Source organism: Homo sapiens, chromosome 2 (genome assembly GCF_000001405.40).
Source record: "Homo sapiens chromosome 2, GRCh38.p14 Primary Assembly".
Classification (NCBI taxonomy): Eukaryota; Metazoa; Chordata; class Mammalia; order Primates; family Hominidae; genus Homo; species Homo sapiens.
The window spans coordinates 60,796,837-60,816,099 of record NC_000002.12 but is presented as its reverse complement, the minus strand read 5'-3'; the positions used below and the strand labels follow the sequence as shown (position 1 = coordinate 60,816,099).

General features: G+C 44.6%; 1 protein-coding gene across 3 annotated transcripts in view, besides 1 other annotated feature; it reads right to left on the bottom strand.

The window, feature by feature from the left end:
• Positions 8,746-8,845: an enhancer, noted in NCBI's record as "active region_15818". NCBI's record gives its function as "activates an Ori minimal core promoter by ATAC-STARR-seq in GM12878 lymphoblastoid cells {active_cell/tissue: GM12878}" and the evidence as "EXISTENCE:reporter gene assay evidence [ECO:0000049][PMID:35858748]".
• PAPOLG (poly(A) polymerase gamma) overlaps positions 14,014-19,263 on the bottom strand; it is a 45,819-nt gene continuing 40,569 nt past the window's right edge. For all 3 annotated transcript variants that reach the window (NM_022894.4, XM_005264500.5, XM_005264501.3), the window contains one exon: positions 14,014-19,038. In NM_022894.4, the coding sequence (NP_075045.2) occupies positions 18,940-19,038 (99 nt within the window). In that variant the 3' untranslated portion in view covers positions 14,014-18,939. The remainder of the gene's footprint in view (positions 19,039-19,263) is intronic.

The window sequence follows — 19,263 nt, the reverse complement described above, 5'->3', positions numbered from 1 at the left end:
GATAAGATTTACATTAAAAAAGAATCCCAGGCTGGGCACAGTGGTTCACGCCTGTAATCCCAGCACTTTGGGAGGCCAAGGCAGGTGGATCATGAGATCGAGAGATCGAGACCATCCTGGCCAACATGGTGAAAACCCGTCACTACCAAAAACACGAAAATTAGCTGGGTGTGGTGGCGCACCCCTGTAGTCCCAGCTACTAGAGAGGCTGAGGCAGGAGAATTGCTTGAACCCCGGAGGTGGAGGTTGCAGTGAGCCGAGATCGTGCCACTACACTCTAGCCTGGCAACAGAGCGAGATTCCATCCCAAAAACAAACAAACAAACAAACAAAAAAAGAATCCCCGCTGAGACATGGTGGCTCACACCTGTAATCCCAGCACTTTGGGAGTCCGAGGGGGAGGATTGCTTGAGCCCGGGAGTTTGAGACCAGCCCAGGCAACTATTGCAAGACCCCATATCTATTTCAAAAATTAAAATAAATAACAAAAAAAAAGAAAAAGAAAAGACTCCCTCTGCTGCTGTGTTGAGAATTGGCTGAAGGGGGACACTCGTGGATGCAGGGAGAGGAGCAAGGAGCTTAATGCAAGAATCCAGGTAAGAGGTGATGGTGGCTTCCAACCAGGTGCTGGAAGCAGGGGCGCAAGTGGTTGAAGGTAGACATGCTTCAATATCAGAGCTGGCAGCAAGTGCCCCGAGTATGGCTGGCTGTGGGTGTGTGAGAGAGAGGAGCTGAGGTTTCTTGGTTCTAGCTGGTTCTGGAGTGGAGCTGCCATTTACTAGGATGGAGACAGCTGTGGAAGCAACACATTTGGGGTTGGAATCAGGAGTTTCTGTATGATGTGTGAAGTCTGAGAGGCCTGTGAGAGAGACCTCCTAGGCAGTTGGGAATTGTGTCCAGAATTCAACATGGGAGCAGTCTGCGCAGGAGACTGTGCAGGAATCTGGGAGCCATCAGCATATCATGGAATTTATTCTTAAGACGGGATCAGACCCTCAGGAGATGCAGAGACACACGAGTTACAGACAAGTGTCTAACCCTTTGAGGCTTATTGTCAAAGCTATAGGATATCTACCTTGCATGGTGGTTGTGAGTGAACAGCCGATGCAGAATGGACCCAGTGCTCAGTGGGTAGCTCTCTCCCACTGAATTTTTTTTTTTTTTTTTTGGTCTCAGAATGGCACTATTGTCGGCTTAGCTCCCTTTGGATCTTAGTGTCTTCAGTCTTCTTTCTTTTTTTTTCTGTACCCTTATTAGAAGTGAAGGCTAATCCTCAGCCTTATTATTTAACTACTTGATCCAGCTCAACACTGAGCACCAACTGAGAAAAAGCTGCTCTGCTAGAACATCAGCTACCTGAGGATCCTGGCCCACACTTTCCACTCCTCAGGGATGCACCTTCCAATGGAGAAAACAGAAAACCCCATCGCCTTCCTGAGAATGTACGGCCAACAGCAAGGCTGTGCAGGTGCAACACTGGACTGGGGCTGGGGAGACATTAATTCAGACTGGGGACATTTGTGGGACTCATCAAGGAAGCAGAACATGAGCTTGAGCTTGAGAGTTGAAAAGGAATGTGTTGGGGAAAGATGAAGAGCAGATGGGGTGGGAGTGGAAGGGAGGGCAGCACAGGCAGATGTGACGAGAACAGACCAGAGAAATCCTTTATGGCTAAAGCAGGGTGTTTGTGGTGATAGGGTAGAGGGGACTCAGACTGGCTTGAGCTAGACTGGAGGAGTTGACAGGGGGCCACTCCATGTTAGCAAGCATCACCCACGGGTACACCCCGAGTTGTCTAGTTCCCAGAATTCCTCCCCTAAAATCTTTTGGCTCCTCTCACTCTTAAGCCCAGCACATTAACTCATTAGTTTAGACGAGACTGCCATTTTCTGCCCAGCCATCCAGGAGCTAACCTCCTCTATTCCCGTCCTGTGGTTCTATCGCTGTGGCCCATCTCTTGCCAGCATCCTCAACTGTTTGCCTCTTTGGCTTTTGACCCATCATCTTATAAACTTTGAGTCCTGGATCATTTCAATAGCTTCTCTCTCTTCTTTTATTTCAGGATGTCGAGGTGGTTGGACAACAATCCTTCAACTGCATATGGCAGGAGCTTTAACTTTGTTGCCCCTAGTCTCAACTGGGTCCTTAGGAGTACTGTTCCATTCTTTTATGCATCCTTACCCAGCTTAATTTTCCATTTTCATGGTGGCCATGCCAAACCTTTGTTCCTCTTCTTAACTTGTTCTCAGCAAAGAAAATGGAAGGCTTTTGGGCTCATGCTCCTTCAAATGTTTGCCTTCCCTGCATGCAAACTTGTGTACTTTATTTTATTTTATCTTTGAGACAGGGTCTCGCTCTGTCACCCAGGCTGGAGTGCAGTACATGAACATGGCTCACTGGAATGAGGCGCTTCTTTATGCCACCACTCACAACAACCACGGAAGGTAGATCTCCTATAGCTTTGACAACTAAGCCTCAAAGGGTCAGACACTTGGCCATGACTTGTGTGTCTCTGCTCCTCCTGAGGGTCTGATCCAGTCTCAAGACTAAATTCCATGAATACGCTGATGGCTCCTAGATTCTATCTCCTGCATAGATGACTCCCATGCTGAATTCTGGACACAATTCCCAAATGCGTATGGCCTCTCTCATAAGCCTCTCAGGACTTCACATATCACAGAGAAACTCCTGATTCCACCCCAAAATGTGTTGCTCCTGCAGCTGTCTCCATTCTAGAGATAGCTTCCACCTCCTGGGCTCAATTGATCCTCCCACCTCAGCCTCCTGAGTAGCTGGGACTACAGGTGCACATCACCATGCCTGGCTAATTTTTGTATTTATTTTTTGTAGAGACAGGGTTTCACCATGTTGCCCAGCCTGGTCTGGAACTCTGGTGCCCAAGTAATCCACCTGCCAGGCGTGAGCCACTGTGCCTGGCCACTTGTCTACTTATTAGCTGTCTATTGCTGTGTAATAAATTACTCCAAAACTGAATGTCTTAGAACAATAAACATTTATTATCTTATAGTCTATAGACTCTGGTTTTGGTTTAGTTGAGTATCTCTCCTTCGGAGTCTCTCATAAGATTGCAATCAAGCTATTGGCTGGAGCTGCAGTCACCTCCAGGCTTGACGGGCTGAAGGCTCCTAAGGTCGTTCATGCAGCTTTACATAGGGTTGACTTAAAACAATATGACAGCTGACTTCCCCCAGGGCGAGCAATCCAAGAGAGAACAAGACAGAGTGCCTGTGATATTATGATATATATAACATATTACATATATGTGTGTATTTTTGTCCACAGTTCCTGGCTGATAACTCCTATAGTCCTTCTTAGGAGTTATGTGACTCCTAAGTTAAGTGACTAAAACAATAAGCATATCTTTTGTTAAAGTATTTGTCCCTTTGTCCTTGGTTCCTAAAGTAGCTTCAGAATGATAAAGGTGAAAGACAGTGTTTTGTTATAATGTTGGGGCACTTTAGGCCTCAGGAAGCAGAATCTCTTTCTCTGACCTTCTCCTGCGCCCCTTTCACCTGATCTTTTTTTCTCCCCAAGGCAGGCCATAGGAACTAAAAGTATAATCTTCCCCCACCTTTCTGCCTTGGTACTGGTCATAAATAAATTCTCTGGCCTACTTTGTCTGATTGTAGGTTATAAGACCCCCATTTTAGAAGGGGTCGTGCCCCATACCCAGGAGAAAGGAATGCTGCACAGAGGGCCAAGAAGAATCTAAACCGATGGGCCTTGCTGAATTTCCTCACTCAGCCTATTCTTATTAGATTATACCCTTTCGGTCCAATCACATTTCTACATAGTTGTCCAGGCTTCAGTCATGCCTATCCAATGAAGTCTCCAGGCCCAGGAAGACGGGGCATGTCAATCTTCTGAACAGCTGAACTCATGGAGGCTTCCAGGAAGGTGAATAAAAACTCATTAAAGAGGCCAGGCGTGGTGGCTCATGCCTGTAATCCCAGCACTGTGGGAGTCTGAGGCAGGTGGATCACTTGAGGCCAGGAATTTGAGATCAGCCTGGCGAAACTCTGTCTCTACTAAAAACACAAAAATTAGCCGGGTGTGGTGGCAGGTGCATGTAATCTCTGCTACTAGGGTGGATGAGGCAGGATAATTCCTTGAACCCCGGAGGCAGAGGTTGCAGTGAGCCAAGATAGCGCCGCTGCACTCCAGCCTGAGCAAGTCTTAAAATAAATAAATAAATTTTAAAATAAATAAATAAATAAAATAATAAATCAGTAAACGTAAGTGTTTCCCAGAGTTTCATGAGCCACTCCAGCAAATGAATCATGCCTACAGAGGGCATCGTGGGAACCCCAACTTGAAGCTGGTCAGTCTGAAGTTACGGAGGCCTAGACTTGCGACTGGTGTCTGAAGTGGGGGCAGTCTTGTGGGACTGAGCCCTCAACTTGTGGGATCTGATGCTATCTCCAGGTAGATGGTGTCAGTGTCAGAACAAAACTGAATTAGAAGACATCCAGCTGGTGTCCACTGCAGAACTGACTGCTCGCTTGCTGGTGGGGAGATATCTCCACACATTTGCTCACAGAAGTCTTCTGTGCTGATTACTGTGATATGACAGCAGAGGAAAAAGTTTGTTTTTCAATACAGTGCCGAAGATGAAAGCCACATGCTTTTTATAACCTAATATATCAGAAGTGACATCCCATCACTTGTACAGTATCCTTTTTTTTTTTTTTTTGAGGCAGAGTCTCTCTGTCACCCAGGCTGGAGTGCAGTCGCACGATCTCAGTTCACTGCAACCTCTGCCTCCCAGGTTCAAGGGATTCTCATGCCTCAGCCTTTCGAGGAGCTGGGACTACAGGCATGCACCACCACGCCTGGCTAATTTTTGTATTTTTAGTAGAGACAGAGTTTCTTTTTTCTTTCTTTCTTTTTTTTTGAGACGGAGTTTCGTTTTGTTGCCCTTGTCGGAGTGCAATGGCACAATCTCAGCTCACCGCAACCTCTGCCTCCCAGGTTCAAGTGATTCTCCTGCTTCAGCCCCCCGCATAGCTGGGATTACAGGCATGCGCCACCACACCCGGCTAATTTTGCATTTTCAGTAGAGACGGGGTTTCTCCATATTGGTCAGGCTGGTCTCGAACTCCTGACCTGAGGTGATCTGCCTGCCTCGGCCTCCCAAAGTGCTGGGATTACAAGCATGAGCCACCATGCCTGGCCGAGACAGGGTTTCACTATGTTGGCCAGGGTGGTCTCGAACTCCTGACCTAAAATGAGCTGCCTGCCTCGGCCTCCCAAAATGCTGGGATTAAAGGTGTACACCACCACACCCAGCTATGTGAATAGTATTTTATGTGCTAGACGTGGGTCAATAAGTGTAGTGCCCCCTCAAGGGGAGGGGTTACACCAAAGCATGAACACCAGGAGGCACAGATCGTTGGGGGCCATCTTAGAAGCTGCCTACCACAACTTCTCCTCTTCTTTCCATGTTTCTACTTGCCTCCAGGGCCAGTTCCTCAATATGTGCAAATGTCCCTGTCTTCTGGCTCTGGCTCTATAGAGTATCCACCATTGTTCCATTGCCTTCTTCCCCTCAACCTTAAGCCATGTCCATAAATCTCCCAAGTTAAAAATAAACCTTCCCTCCACCTTGATCTATGACCAGTAGTCTCTCCTTCTTTCCCCTGCAACTCTTCTTGAGAATGTGACCTTTCTTCTCTGCAATCACTTCCACCTCCACAGCACTGCTCTGCTAAGGTCATCAGTGACCTCCAAATGCCAAATCACATACATACCTTTTAATCCAAGTCTTAGTTGTCCTCCGCAGCACTGAATGCCATTAACCCTCCTCTTCAGCTTCTCCTGTCTTGCTGACTTCACCTTTTTGGCCTCCTCTATCTTCACTTACCCCTAAATCTGAGATTGTCCAGGCTTTGCCCACACTCCTTGGATTCACTCCCTCTGACTCCCCACCTCCCGTACTTCCAGCACCTCTATGTTCTGATTACTATTGCTGCTGTGAATTTTAGTCTTCCAACTCACATGTGAAAGAAGTAACACAGGTTTTTTTGGGGTTTTTTTGTTTGTTTTGTTTTTGTTTTTTTAGACAGAGTCTTGCTCAGTCTACCTAGGCTGGAGTGCAGTGGCACCATCTCGGTTCACTGCAACCTCTGCCTCCCAGGTTCAAGTGATTCTCCTGTCTCAGGCTCCCGAGTAGCTGGGATTATAGGCGCCCACCACCACGCTTGGCTAATTTTTGTATTTTTAGTAGAGACGGGGTTTCACCATGTTGGCCAGGCTGGTCTCGAACTCCTGACCTCAGGTGATCCACTCACCTCGGTCCCCAAAGTGCTGCGATTACAGGCGTGAGCCACTGCACCTGGCCATGACACACTTCCTGACTTTGTTTAAATCAACTTCAATCTGATATTGAGCCGCCTTCTACTGAGCTGACAGGAAATTAATCTCAGTAATTGCTGAATGTCCCACATTCTACCCAGGGGTGTGCCAAAGTCGGCTCCTCCTGGGAAGTCTTGCTAGGCAAAGGCACTGGTCTTCGGCTCATGCTAATCACTGCTGAGGTGCTTCCTGGTCTGACTGCATTGTCCCTTGAGGTTTAATAGCCTTGCTGCTTAGAGCAGAGGAACCTTTGGCAAAGTGAATGCTCCCAGGCCTGGGGTCCAGCCTTCCTAACTACACAGATCAAACCACCCCCTTTAGGACTTGTCACCTCCACCAGTGACCTGACATGGAGCAGCACCCAGACCCCAGTCTGCTGTAACCTGCTATTTCCTCTCTCCCAATCCCAGGGTGACTCTCTTCTCTCTCCTCTTGCAACTCTCAAAGTCCCCACCCCACGAACACCAAACAAAGACAACCAGTATCTGTTCTTTACCCTGCAAAAACATCTCAGGAAAGGAACTAGGCCTGGCCACCAGCTTGGAATGCAGAGAAGGGAAAAACAGCAAACAAAACACAAATTAGCCTGGCACGGTGGCTCACACCTGTGATCCCAACACTTAGGGAGGCTGAGGTGGGAGGATCACTTGAGGCCAGGAGTTTGAGACCAGCCTGGGCAACATAGGGAGACCACAATTCTCCAAAAAAAATTTTTTTTAAAGCTGGGCATAGTCTCAGCTACTTGGGAGGCTGAGGCAGAAGGATCGCTTGAGCCCAGGAGGTCAACACTGCAGTGAGCCGGGATCACACCACTGCACTCCAGTCTGGGCAAGAGAATGAGCCTCTGTTCCAAAAAACAAACCAACCCACACAAATTAATACTGTTGGGAGCCTGCCAGTGGGATTCAATACACGACACTCTCTTTTCTCCCTTGTGAGTTTAGGACACAGACGGAGTCCAAAACATTTGCCTTATTACTAATACAGCTCATTGAAGACAGCGGCTTTGAGTGTGCTCCAAGCACGGGCTCTTCACAGTCAAGGCCACCCGCAGACACAGCAGAGCCACTGCGCAGGGCGGGAAAAACGTAAAAGGGAGGAGCCACAGGGTGTGGCCGCACATGCTTAGTTCCCTCCCCAAGCTGACCAATCGGGTAAGCCACCCCTCCTGCTTGTCAGGGCAAAGCCCAGAGCGGCCCGGAGTTCCTGCAGCAGGTCTGGGGAGGTAGGAACCGAGATTCCCGCTTAACAAATATCCATAAAGATGAGTCTGTCACGCTGTGAAGCCTGGACATCCAGCCAAGGCCTCTCTCTAGGGCTCCAGACCAATACTTCCCATGGTCTACCGTACATCTCCACGTGGATGGCCATGAGGCTAGCTCCAGTTCAACACCCCCAAATCTAAATTCAGGTACCCTCTCCCGCAGCCCTCCCCTGGTATCTCAGAGTTGATTAATGACAATACAGTCAGCCTTCCAGTCCAAGGAAGGTGGGCACCCTCCTCCACTCTTCCCTGAATACAGTTTGTCAGCGACCCCATCCTTTCTACCTCCAAAGTTTGGAACGTATTCCTTTATGTTACTTTAGTTTCTTCTCCCCATACTGCAGGAGCCTCCTTATCCTTACCATCTCCATGCCTCTGTCTTTTCCTCTCCCTCTCTTGTCCATGGGAAGCAGGACTCTGTCTACATTCCAGCCTCATACCTTTTCCCCAAATGCAACTAATGCTCCTTTCACACAGCCCTACTACAACATCCAATTTCCAGAACCTTTCCAGCCTTCCACCTCCCCCAGCTTTCACCTGGAAAACTCTTAATTGGCCTACAACATTCAGCTCTGGGGTTGTTGTTCCCCAACACCATCCCTGACCAAGGCAGAATTAAGGGGTCCCTCTGCAGTGCTCCCAACAGCACAGCATAACCTAGATATTTGTCAGCTAACTTTCTACCAGTCTGAGAGGTCCTTCAGTGTAGGGACAGGTTTAAATCTTGTTTATGCTCTGGGTGCCTAGCTAGCTCAATGCCAGGTGGATGCTAGGGGCTCGATAAACATTTATGGAATGAATAGCCATGTCCCACGGGCCCCATCAATTTAACCTTGTCAAGCCCATAGCATCTTTTCTTCTCTGCTTCCCCACGCCCTTCACCTGGTGACCTTGGTGCAGCTAATTGGTTGAAGAGTGCACAGGGAATTTAATGGTGCTTTCCCTCTGGTGTGCTCAGCTGGAGGCAGGCAAAGCAGGCTTCTCAGCAGGCAGTGAGTGGGCCATGCTAGGGGAGTGACTGCTTTGTGCAACCTCGGGGCCTCCTGCAAATCAGACTCAATCGCCTTCACTTCCTGTGCTTAGGGAGATTAGATACTGCCTAATCAACGCCAATTTTTTTTCTTTTCTTAATATTTGAAACTACCAAGTACCAGTTGCCATCCTAGTGGGTGGCTTTCAGAAATCCCCTCTTTTCTGGTGTTTGACTTCTTGTGAGTTTCAAGAAACCAATCTATTTGGAAAGAACCTGCACATAGAAGTTCTTTGAACTGCTGAGAAGCCCTGGCAGGAAGTGACTTGGGATCTGGGTTAGACAGTTTTGTCTCACTCCCAGGAGAGGTGGGAGTAATGAGATACAGTTGCATCTGTGTGTGGGCGTGGCTTTAGATCATTCCTGTGGCCATCTCTCCATGTGTGGCCCATTTTCTAGATCTAGTCAGAGCTGAAATTAGGATGGCTGTTTCTGCTATAGAACATCTATTACACATTGGTGCTGCACTTTGCCAGGCATTCTGGGAGTCCTGGGCTGGCAGAGATGAGCCTGATAAGCTTTTTCATCTCAGTTTAATGTTATAATCTTTTGTTGTTTGTTTTTTTGAGACAAGGTCTCACTGTCACCCGGGATGGAATGCAGTGGTGTGATCACCGCTCACTGCAGCCTCAACCTCCCAGGCTCAGATGATTCTCCTCCCTCAGCCTCCCGAGCAGCTGGGACCACAGGCATGTGACACCATGCCCGGCTAATTTTTTAATTATTTGTTGAGACAGGGTCTTCCTATGTTGCGCGGGTTGGCCTTGAACTCCTGGGATCAAGTGATCCATCTGCCTTGGCCTCCCGAAGTGCTAGGATTACAGGTATGAGCCACCATGCCTGGCCCTATTATAATCTTTAAGTGAACTAAAGTACTCAGTGAAAAACTTTTTTCTTTTCTTTTTTTGCCAGAGACAGGATCTCACTTAGTTGCCTAGGCTGGAATGTGGTGGCACAATCATAGCTCACTGTAACCTTCAACTCTTGGGCTCAAGCAAACCTCCTTCCTCAACCTCCCAAGTAGCTGGGACTACAGGCACATACCACCATGCTTGGCTGATGTTTTCTTTTGTAGAGACAGGAGTCTCACTGTGTTGCCCAGGCTGGTCTTGAACTCCTGGCTTCAAGTGATCCTCTCGCCTTAACCTCCCAAAGTGTTGAGATTACAGGCATGAACCACTGAGCCAGGCCTTCAGGGAAACTTTGTAAGAATTCAATGAGTTCTACACATTTCTCTGAATAAAACTGTTTTGAGAGGTATACTTGGAGAAGGGCTTGGTAACAGGGCAAAGGCCATGTATTTTCACACTATTGCACAGGAGGTGGAGATCTATTCCTCAGTCTGGCTGGAGAGACAGACACTGGCCTTCTTCCCCGATTCTTGTGATGTATTTTTAGGAGAAGGGACGCTCACTGTGGGTCAAGCACGATGCATAGTGTATGACATATGCTATTTCATGTAACTCATCATGCCACAAAAAAACTCTTGAACTCCACTTTATACTAGGAACTTTTGGATTGCCTCTTTTAATCCATTTAGCAGCTTTTTGGGTGTAGAGTCTGTTATGATCGTCACCACTTTTTCAGAAGAGAAAACTGAGGGACTGAGGCATTAACTTCCACCATTTCTTATAGTCAATAAGTAAGTGCTAGAGCTGGCAACTGAGGCTAGGCCATTGAACTACAGAGCCTCTTAAACCCTTCATTTTTTGTCATATGAAATAAGTGTTGAGATTCCACTTTACAGATTAGTAACCTTGAACCCAAAGGTTAAGCAATTTGTCCAAGGTCTCACAGGTGGTAAGAGATGTAGCTGAGGTATCTACGTAGGTCTGTGGGCTTCAAAGTCTGCAACATTCTCCTACCCCCTACTGGTTAGACAGTGGATATATTAGTTTAAAAGTCAAAAAGTTCAGCTGGGCGCGGCAGCTCACGTCTGTAATCCTGGCACTTTGGGAGGCCGAGGCGGGCAGATCTCCTGAGGTCAGGAGTTCGAGACCAGCCTGGCCAACATGGCGAAACTCTGTCTCTATTAAAAATACAAAAATTAGTTGGGCATGGTGGCACATGCCTGTAATTCCAGCTACTCAGGAGGCTGAGACAGGAGAATCACTTGAACCTGGGAAACAGAGGTTATAGTGAGCTGAGATTGTGCCAGTGCACTCCAGCCTGGGCAACAGACCGAGACTCTGTCTCAAAAAAAAAAAAAAAAAAAAAAAAATCTACTTTCCTATTTCTCATTCTTGATATCTGCTCCCTAGAGGCAAACATTTTCATAATTTTAAGACTTTTCTCCTACTGATTACTTACAAATTTCTAAATAACTTGCATATATTATCCTAGATTTTTGTCTTAGATATTTACTACTCACTGCCACTGAAGATGAGGATTTCACTCTCACACCCTGTCCTACCTCCCTCCCCGATTCTTCCGAATATAGTTACAATTTTTGGCTAGTTCAATATTCTCTATTCTCTACTTGTAAAGACTATGTGACCATTCACAGCCAAGCCACTGATGGCAGCAGTGGCCCACCTGGAGCGGCTGCAGCAGGGAAGGTGCGGCCAGGGCTGCGTGTGCCATGGAGCCAGCAGGAGCCTGGAACAGGCGGGACCCCTGCCCACTTCTGAATTGGAAGGGCAGGAGCCTGATGTTCCTGGGTGCAGCTGCAGCCACCCAGTCACGACTGCGGACCCAGGCATCCCTAGCTTTTAGGGACCTGGGAAGCCCCTCTTCCCCGACAGGCTCGGAAGTGCCTGCTCCCGCTGCTTGGCCTTTCCCTGCTCCCGGCTCCCACTCCAGGGTAGAGCAAAGTTGGAGCCGAGCTTGGGTGCTGTCACGACCCGGCCAGGTGTGTGTGCGCCCGGAGTGGCGCCGACACACCAGCCCCCTGCTGCCTAAGCCCCTCCGGACTTTGGGCACCGAGGAGCACAGGATGGGGGCCAAGGGGGTACTGACGGTGGCTCCACGTGGGCCTGCAGGTGCCCCTTGGTAGGAACAGCCTGGGCACCTGCCTGCCTCAGCCTCCCACAGTGCTGGGATTACAGGTGTGAGCCACTGTGCCCGGCACAGACAACGTGTCTTAATGGCCTCAGGAAGTTTTGTTTGCCTTCTTGCATCTTAGTTCCTTCATTGGGCTTCTCTTTAAGATAATCCTATTTAAATTTAAAAACAAAACAATCCTACCCCTCAAACCAAACAAGGACTCATGTGTTTTCCTCTTAAATATTTTCTGGGTATTCACTACATAAAGATTTTTGGATAAAGCTCACTTTCTTTTTTTTTTTTTTTTTTTTTTTTAAGACATGGAATCTCACTCTATCACCCAGGGTGGAGTGGAGTGGCGTGATCATAGCTCACTGCGGCCTTGACCTGCTGGGCTCCAGCAGTCTGTCCACCTCAGCCTCTTGAGTAGCTGGGACTACAGGTGAGCACCACCACACTGGGCTAATTTTATTTGTAGAGACACTATGTTGGCCAGGCTGGTCTTCAGCTCCTGGCTTCAAGCGATCCTCCTTCCTTGGTCTCCCAAAGTGCTGGGATTACGGGCATGAGCCACTGTGCTTGGCCGGAGGTCACTATTCTCAAACCTACAATCTTGTCAGGGGAAACAGGTAAACTGAGCATTACACAAGTCAGAATAATTTAAACGTTCAAACGTACAAGTAACATACTGAAAAGGTAAGAGTCTGGCTAGGGTATCATGGAAGTCTCTATGCAGCAGTAAGCCAAAAATGTCAATAATCAAAGATTGGCAAGGAAGGCCCTGAAGTATATATTTTTAAACACTATCCATTAAAACAGTTTGGTTGGATCATATGGTTTGAAAGATGGTTTTTAGGATAGGGGATTAAAAAGCAGTACATTATTTTATTTTTATTTTTTGAGATGGAGTCTCACTCTGTCTCCCCCAGGCTGGAGTGCAGTTGTGCGATCTTGGCTCACTGCAGCCTCTGCCTCCCGGGTTCAAGTGATTCTCCTGTCTCAGCCTCTCAAGTAGCAGGGATTACAGGTGCATGCCACTACCACCTGGCTAATTTTTGTATTTTTAGTAGAGACGGAGTTTCACCATGTTGGCCAGGCTGATCTTGAACTCCTGACCTCAGGCCATCCACCCGCCTCAGCCTCCCAAAGTGCTGGGATTACAGGAGTGAGCCACCATGCCTGGCCCAATATATTTTTCTTTATTTTTTGAGACAGGATCTCACTCTGTTGCCCAGGCGGGAGTGCAGTGGCATGATCTCGGCTCACAGCAACTCTGCCTCACAGGCTCAAGCAATTCTGCCTCAGCCTCCTGAGTAGCTGGGATTACAGGTGCATGCCACTACCACCTGGCTAATTTTTGTATTTTTAGTAGAGACGGGACTTCACCATCTTGGCCAGGCTGGTCTTGAACTCCTGACCTCAAATGATCCACCTGCCTCAGCCTCCCAGCGTGCTAGGATTACAGGTGTGAGCCACTGCACCCGACCCCAATACGTTTTATTTTTGTCCTTAGTACTGTAACACATTTGGATCCACGAAGAACCTGTTATGATGTTAATTGACTTTAGAAAACATTTTATCACAGCATGGTAATTGTGTTAGTATGTTATGTCCTAGGAGCAGTGAGTTGCCCCAACCAGAAATTTACACTCCAGAGATGGCCACCTAGCAATCCAATCGAGAAGCCCACACTTCAAAAGTGACTACTAGAAGCCCTTGTTATCCATAGCTCAATCAATGCAGACTTTGCCAATTAGCTTAATAAATGTCAAATGTGTTTCCATTGGTGACATGAACAGCTTGCTAGTAATACTAACGACGCAGACACAAGCTCTTATTTGTGAATTCAGCACTAGCACATGGATTGGCTAAAAACCAGTCACTGTCCATTCTTACAAGAGGTTTAAGAATGTAACGAGCCCTGTAACCTGTACTTGTATGCATAGTACCCACAGCTTGATCCTGTGTCCAGCCATTATTAGTACGGAGGACTGATTGCCTGATCCTGATCAGAAGGGTGACAGAATTTTGCCCCTAGTGCTTGACATAGACACCTCAAGTGGCCTTTTCATGAAAGGGTGGTCAGACCACCAAAAGGGACAGAAAGCTGGGACACTCCATTAAGGTTATAGAGCAGACTGTATAAACTGTTGTGCCACCGCTTGCTGATAAACGTTTAATAAATGATTCTGTGTGATGCACATTAGGTCTGAGCTTTGCATTCATACTAAGTGGGTAGTAGATACCATTATCTACCAAAAAGAGTCTGAGTGGTAAATGACAAAATTGGTTGTCACTGAAAAGTTAAGACTTCTGGTACTTTTGAGTTAGTCCCAAATAACATCACTCAATCATCACCTATTTATCAAAGCAATTTTATTTGATTACTTATTCCAGGCAAATAATGAGGTTCATGTGTACAACTAAGAAATCAGACAATCCAAATAAAAGGCAGGGTAAATTAATATGAACTACACAAACAGCTAGCTAGAAAGGAACAGCAGCTCCATTCATTTTACATAGTACTGTAGAGTGATGTAGCACCATTAATCTCAAAGATATCCTAAGTACTTTCTAAGATAAGTACGTGGGTCTTTGTTCAAATGTAGCAATAGCTTAAAACTTATAGCAAGCTTGATGATCATCTTATGTTCAACTAATTTCAAATATAAAAGTATATCCGAAAAATTATTTCAGAAAAAATAGGGGCTGGGCACGGTGGCTCACGCCTGTAATCCCAGAACTTTGGGAGGCCGAGGCGGGTGCATCACTGGAGGTCAGGAGTTTGAGACCAGCCTGGCCAACATGTTGAAACCCCATCTCTACAAAAATTAGCCAGGCCCACATGGTGGCGGGCGCCTGTAGTCCCAGCTACTTGGGAGGCTGAGGTAGGAGAATCGCTTGCACCTGGGAGGTGGAGGTTGCAATGAGCCAAGATTGCGCCACTGCATTCCAGCCTGGGTGACGGAGCGAGACTCCATCTTAAAAAAAAAGAAAAGAAAAAATAGACAATTTGGGGGATGACGTGACCTTATGCAATTGGAAAAAAAAAACCATTATTGAGACTGGTTTTCTTCCATCATCTGCACTATTTGCTACTATGACCAATTTAAATTCTAAGCTTTGGATGATTTAATAGGTAGTTATTTGAACACACATACAATTTTATTTATACAAAGTTTTTTTTTTTCCCTAAACTATCACTTTTATATTTATTGGTCTGTTTAGTTTGTTCTGGCCTGAACTACAAACATGGAGGAGCAAGAGAGTTTTCATGCTACAGAACTCAACATTTTGGGATCTTTAATGATTTATTCTATTTTCTACCATTTCTAATGATCATTCTAAGCTATTGTACTGTGATAATATTGGGTTGAAATTTGTTGAACTAAAGTTTGACCCTGTTAACGAATCTAAGTTATCATGAGGCCATCTGTAAATCTGAGATTAAGCATTTTTCTAAATACCGAGGACTTTACAGTTTCATTTTAGGTTATAAACTTAGAAATTCAGAATTCCAGAGTCCCTCACCAGCCCATTTTACTAGTTAGGAGCCACAGCACATTTTCAGAAATATACCACAGCAAAATCAAAAGTAGAAAATTATATAATATTCCAGGATTATTCAATCCTGGTGGTTCCTAACCCTAACTCCCATACTTTTGCCACTTCGAGAAGCTGATCTAAACTATGCACTTTCCCCAAGAAAAATGCATGTAAACTAGAACTTCTTATACACAATTATAAAGGATTCCCTAAGGGTTCATGATTCTCAAGTTAGGAATTCCTATTTCAAAGGTGTGGAACATAGTGGAAAATAAGTTTAGCCCATTTTGATATTGCCCATCTTTACCTAATTGCTACTATAGTGAAGTAAGCATTTTAATAATGCTACTAAATTGCTGCTTTAAAACAAAGCACTCATTTTAAACACTAACATAGATTTTTAAAATTCATTCTCCTGGCTGGGCACAGTAGCTTATGCCTGTAATCCCAGCACTTAGGGTGGCCGAAGCAGCCAGATCACTTGAGGTGAGGAGTTCAAGACCACCCTGGCCAACATGGTGAAATCCCATTTCTACTGAAAATACGAAAATTAGCTGGGCATGGCACAGGCCTGTAATTCCAGCTACTTGGGAGGCTGAGGCAAGAGAATCACTTGAACCCGGGAGGCAGAGGTTGCAGTGAGGTGAGATCATGCCACTGTGCTCCAGACTGGGTGACAGAGTGAAACTCTTGTCTTCATAAAAAAATAAAAAATAAAAAAATAATAATTCTCCTGTCCCAGTTTTACAAAGTTTTAAGCCATGTACCTCTATCTTGAATTGGTTAAGTCCCTAAGGTTTAAGCTAGCAGGTAATTGTTTTCCTTTCATACATATTCTCCAGAGCTACTGAAAAATGAGCAAATTAAAATGTAATGCCCTTGTGAAAATGAACATGTGTCTATATACTGAAGAACAGATTATTTGACTTCATAAAATATACTTCTAGGTATTTTTTCACACTTGAAAACAAACACGGCCGGGTGCGGTGGTTCACGCCTGTAATCCCAGCACTTTGGGACGCCGAGGCAGGTGGATCACCTGAGGTCACAAGTTCGAGACCAGCCTGGCCAACATGGTGAAACGCTGTCTGTACTAAAAATACAAAAATTAGCTGGGCGAGGTGGTGGGTGCCTGTAATCCCAGCTACTTGGGAGGCTGAGGCAAGAGAATAGCTTGAACTCGGGAGGTGAAGGTTGCAGTGAGCCGAGATTGGGCTACTGCACTCCAGCCTGGGCAACAAGAGCAAAACTCTGTCTCAAACAAAACAAAACAAAACAAAACAAAACAAAACAAACACATGTACTTAGTGCCTCTCATCATAACACAAAATCCCAGATCATACTTTCTCCTTTTTTACTTGGAACTAGTACAATGGAAGCTTCCCACCAAGTTAACGAAATGTACTCAAAGTTCTACCTACTGGTCAGGATAGAAAATATTTTATTTCTGACAAACCCCACCATCTCAAAAGTATTTTATCAACTCCTCAGTTACCAAACAGGTTGAAGAATGCTATCTTTGAGGACTCTAATGTTGACTCATTGACATGTTGAATGGGCTCCTTAATCTAAAATAAATGCCTATCCTATAGTACAAGGTTAGACTTGTTGCTTCCTTATTAAAGAAAAACTCCACTAGTCACTCCAAAGATCTATTTACATAATGGGGTAAACATGGATACAGAAGGAATTCCTAAAGATACTTTGAAGGCTGATTTAAAAGCAAAAGATATGAAATGCAGAAATGCATACACATCCAGTATATAAAATTTAATCAAATTCCTTACTAAAGCTTTCAAAAGTTGAAGTCAGGTGATAATTCTTCGGTTCTTTCATAATCATTCATTTTTGCTCAAATAGACTATTTGTAGAACAATCCCAAAACATCTGAATAAAGGGAAAGAGTCAGCTAAGACAACAGCTTTGCCAAGGAAGCTTCAACTTGGTTATGTGATTTTATTCTTATCTTTTGCTGCTATATAAAAAGGGAATAATAGAACAAACATTTTTTTCCTTGTTGTTCTTTACTTCTAAGACTCTTTTCATGTTTTCCATGGTACAAGGTAAACATTAGAATTTACATTTTGGAGACCTAAGGGGCAATGAACAGGAGTGGGACCTGGAGGATACGGCTCTCTGGCAATTCAAGAATTTCAACTCAATGGTAAAGGGCTTGCAAGAGAAAATGGACTGCTATTTCTCCACTTGCTAGATGGCATCCCGTGAGTCCTATAATACACGAGGTGTCTTCCCCACACTACTCAATGTACCATTTTGGGTTTTTCCTACTGGACCTACTAAATGCTGAGTGAAATCTAAAGAAGGTGGTAGATACTAGCATTCCTGGCTGTGTAATCTATACATTTTCATTTTAAATATAGTAATTCAAGCATAATCCATATTTAAAAAATTAGACTAAGGAGAGACAATAAAGGTTTTAAACGTTTCTCTTTGAAAAGATGGTATCTTACAGTACATACAAAAATACTCTGAAAATACATACGACTTCATTTACAAAACACTGAATCAACATATTACAAGAATTACATGGTTATGGATTTTAATAAACTGAGCATGCATTCATGAAACTTAAAAAATATTAAGAAATGCATTGAAAAAAGCAGCGTAAAAAAAGACAACTCATATAGTTAAATAAAAATTACAAAGGTCCTGAGCCAATTAATGGTTGGTAACAATGTCATTCAAAATGCCTTTAGGTTTCAATAAAATCCACTGCTTATTTCTGCATGCCTAGTCCGTGAAGAAACTATTTGAAGTTGTGGGGTAAATAATGATCAGGAATTATCATGCCAAGTTAATTTTACACCTCAAAAATACAAGTGTGCCATACTTAAAGGTTATCTTATTGTTGATGCTGGAATGAGTTGCTCCTCAGTAAAAAATACCAGTCAACTAACAAGAATGGCATGAAATAGGATATGTAACAATTTTACCATTCATATACTGACTTTCAGTATCCTGGTTATATTTTGATTTTTAATAAAGATGCATTTCAAAGGCCTCCATGGGAGGCAAAATATAGAGAATTTATGGTGCCCAACTCTTATGTAATCACTGGACTAATCTTCCCTGGTAACTATGCAACATTTGGACAGAAAGGCACACAAAAAAGTTTAAATATTTCATGTGCCAATCTGGAAAAAAATAATTTAAATCAACAGAACAGACAGTACATCTACACAAATGAGGAAAGCAGAAAAGATACCTCACATTCATTTATCTCAGGTTTCAAAGTGGCTTCAATGCTAAAGTAAATGTATTAACATTTGGAAAATACAAGACAATTTTTTTGTTTGTTTTCAATTTTTTTAGCTCTATACAATGATTACAACATAAGACAAAAAAAGAAAAACACAAAAAACAAAACAAAAAAGGAGTTCAGGACTTGTTATCAGTGTCCAAGTGGCTAAGAACTGGTTCCCATAACAAGCATTGAAAGTTAAGGCAGTAAAACCCCCAAATGCAAAGCTGTAATACTGTAGATGGCAATTTGACAGCAGGTGATCCTCAGAGAAGTGTATGTAGCAATCAGTGAGAGAATGCTACAGCATCTACAGGTCAAAGTTTGACAGTTCAAAAACCACTTCAAGGTTATTAGACTGAAGGCTGTCACTTTCACCTTATTTCACGTATGACAGCCACTTCTATTTAAAAAACAAGTGGCTGCATCTATGCCACTAAATGATTGCTTGTTCACTTAAGTGAGGAGGCACTGCTTTTACCGATTAAGGGTCAGTCGAATGGAATTTTTGATGACACGGATGTTGTTTGCTGGAACTGGAGATGATGAATCTGGTAGTTCTTTACTGGGTAGTCTCTATTAGAAAGAAAGAGGAAACAAAAAAGGAAAAGCACATCATATATATTATAAAGGCCCAGCTAGAAAGTCAGTCACAAAACTTGGGGAGTTTTTCTCCCAAACCCTCTAGCTCCTAAACACTCAAGTATGCAATGAATATTTCCTTCCGTGTTCATAGGGAACTCTTGCTTTCGGAACTGCTACTTCTTTTTACAGTCAGAGGTGAAAAGCAGAGGGATAAGA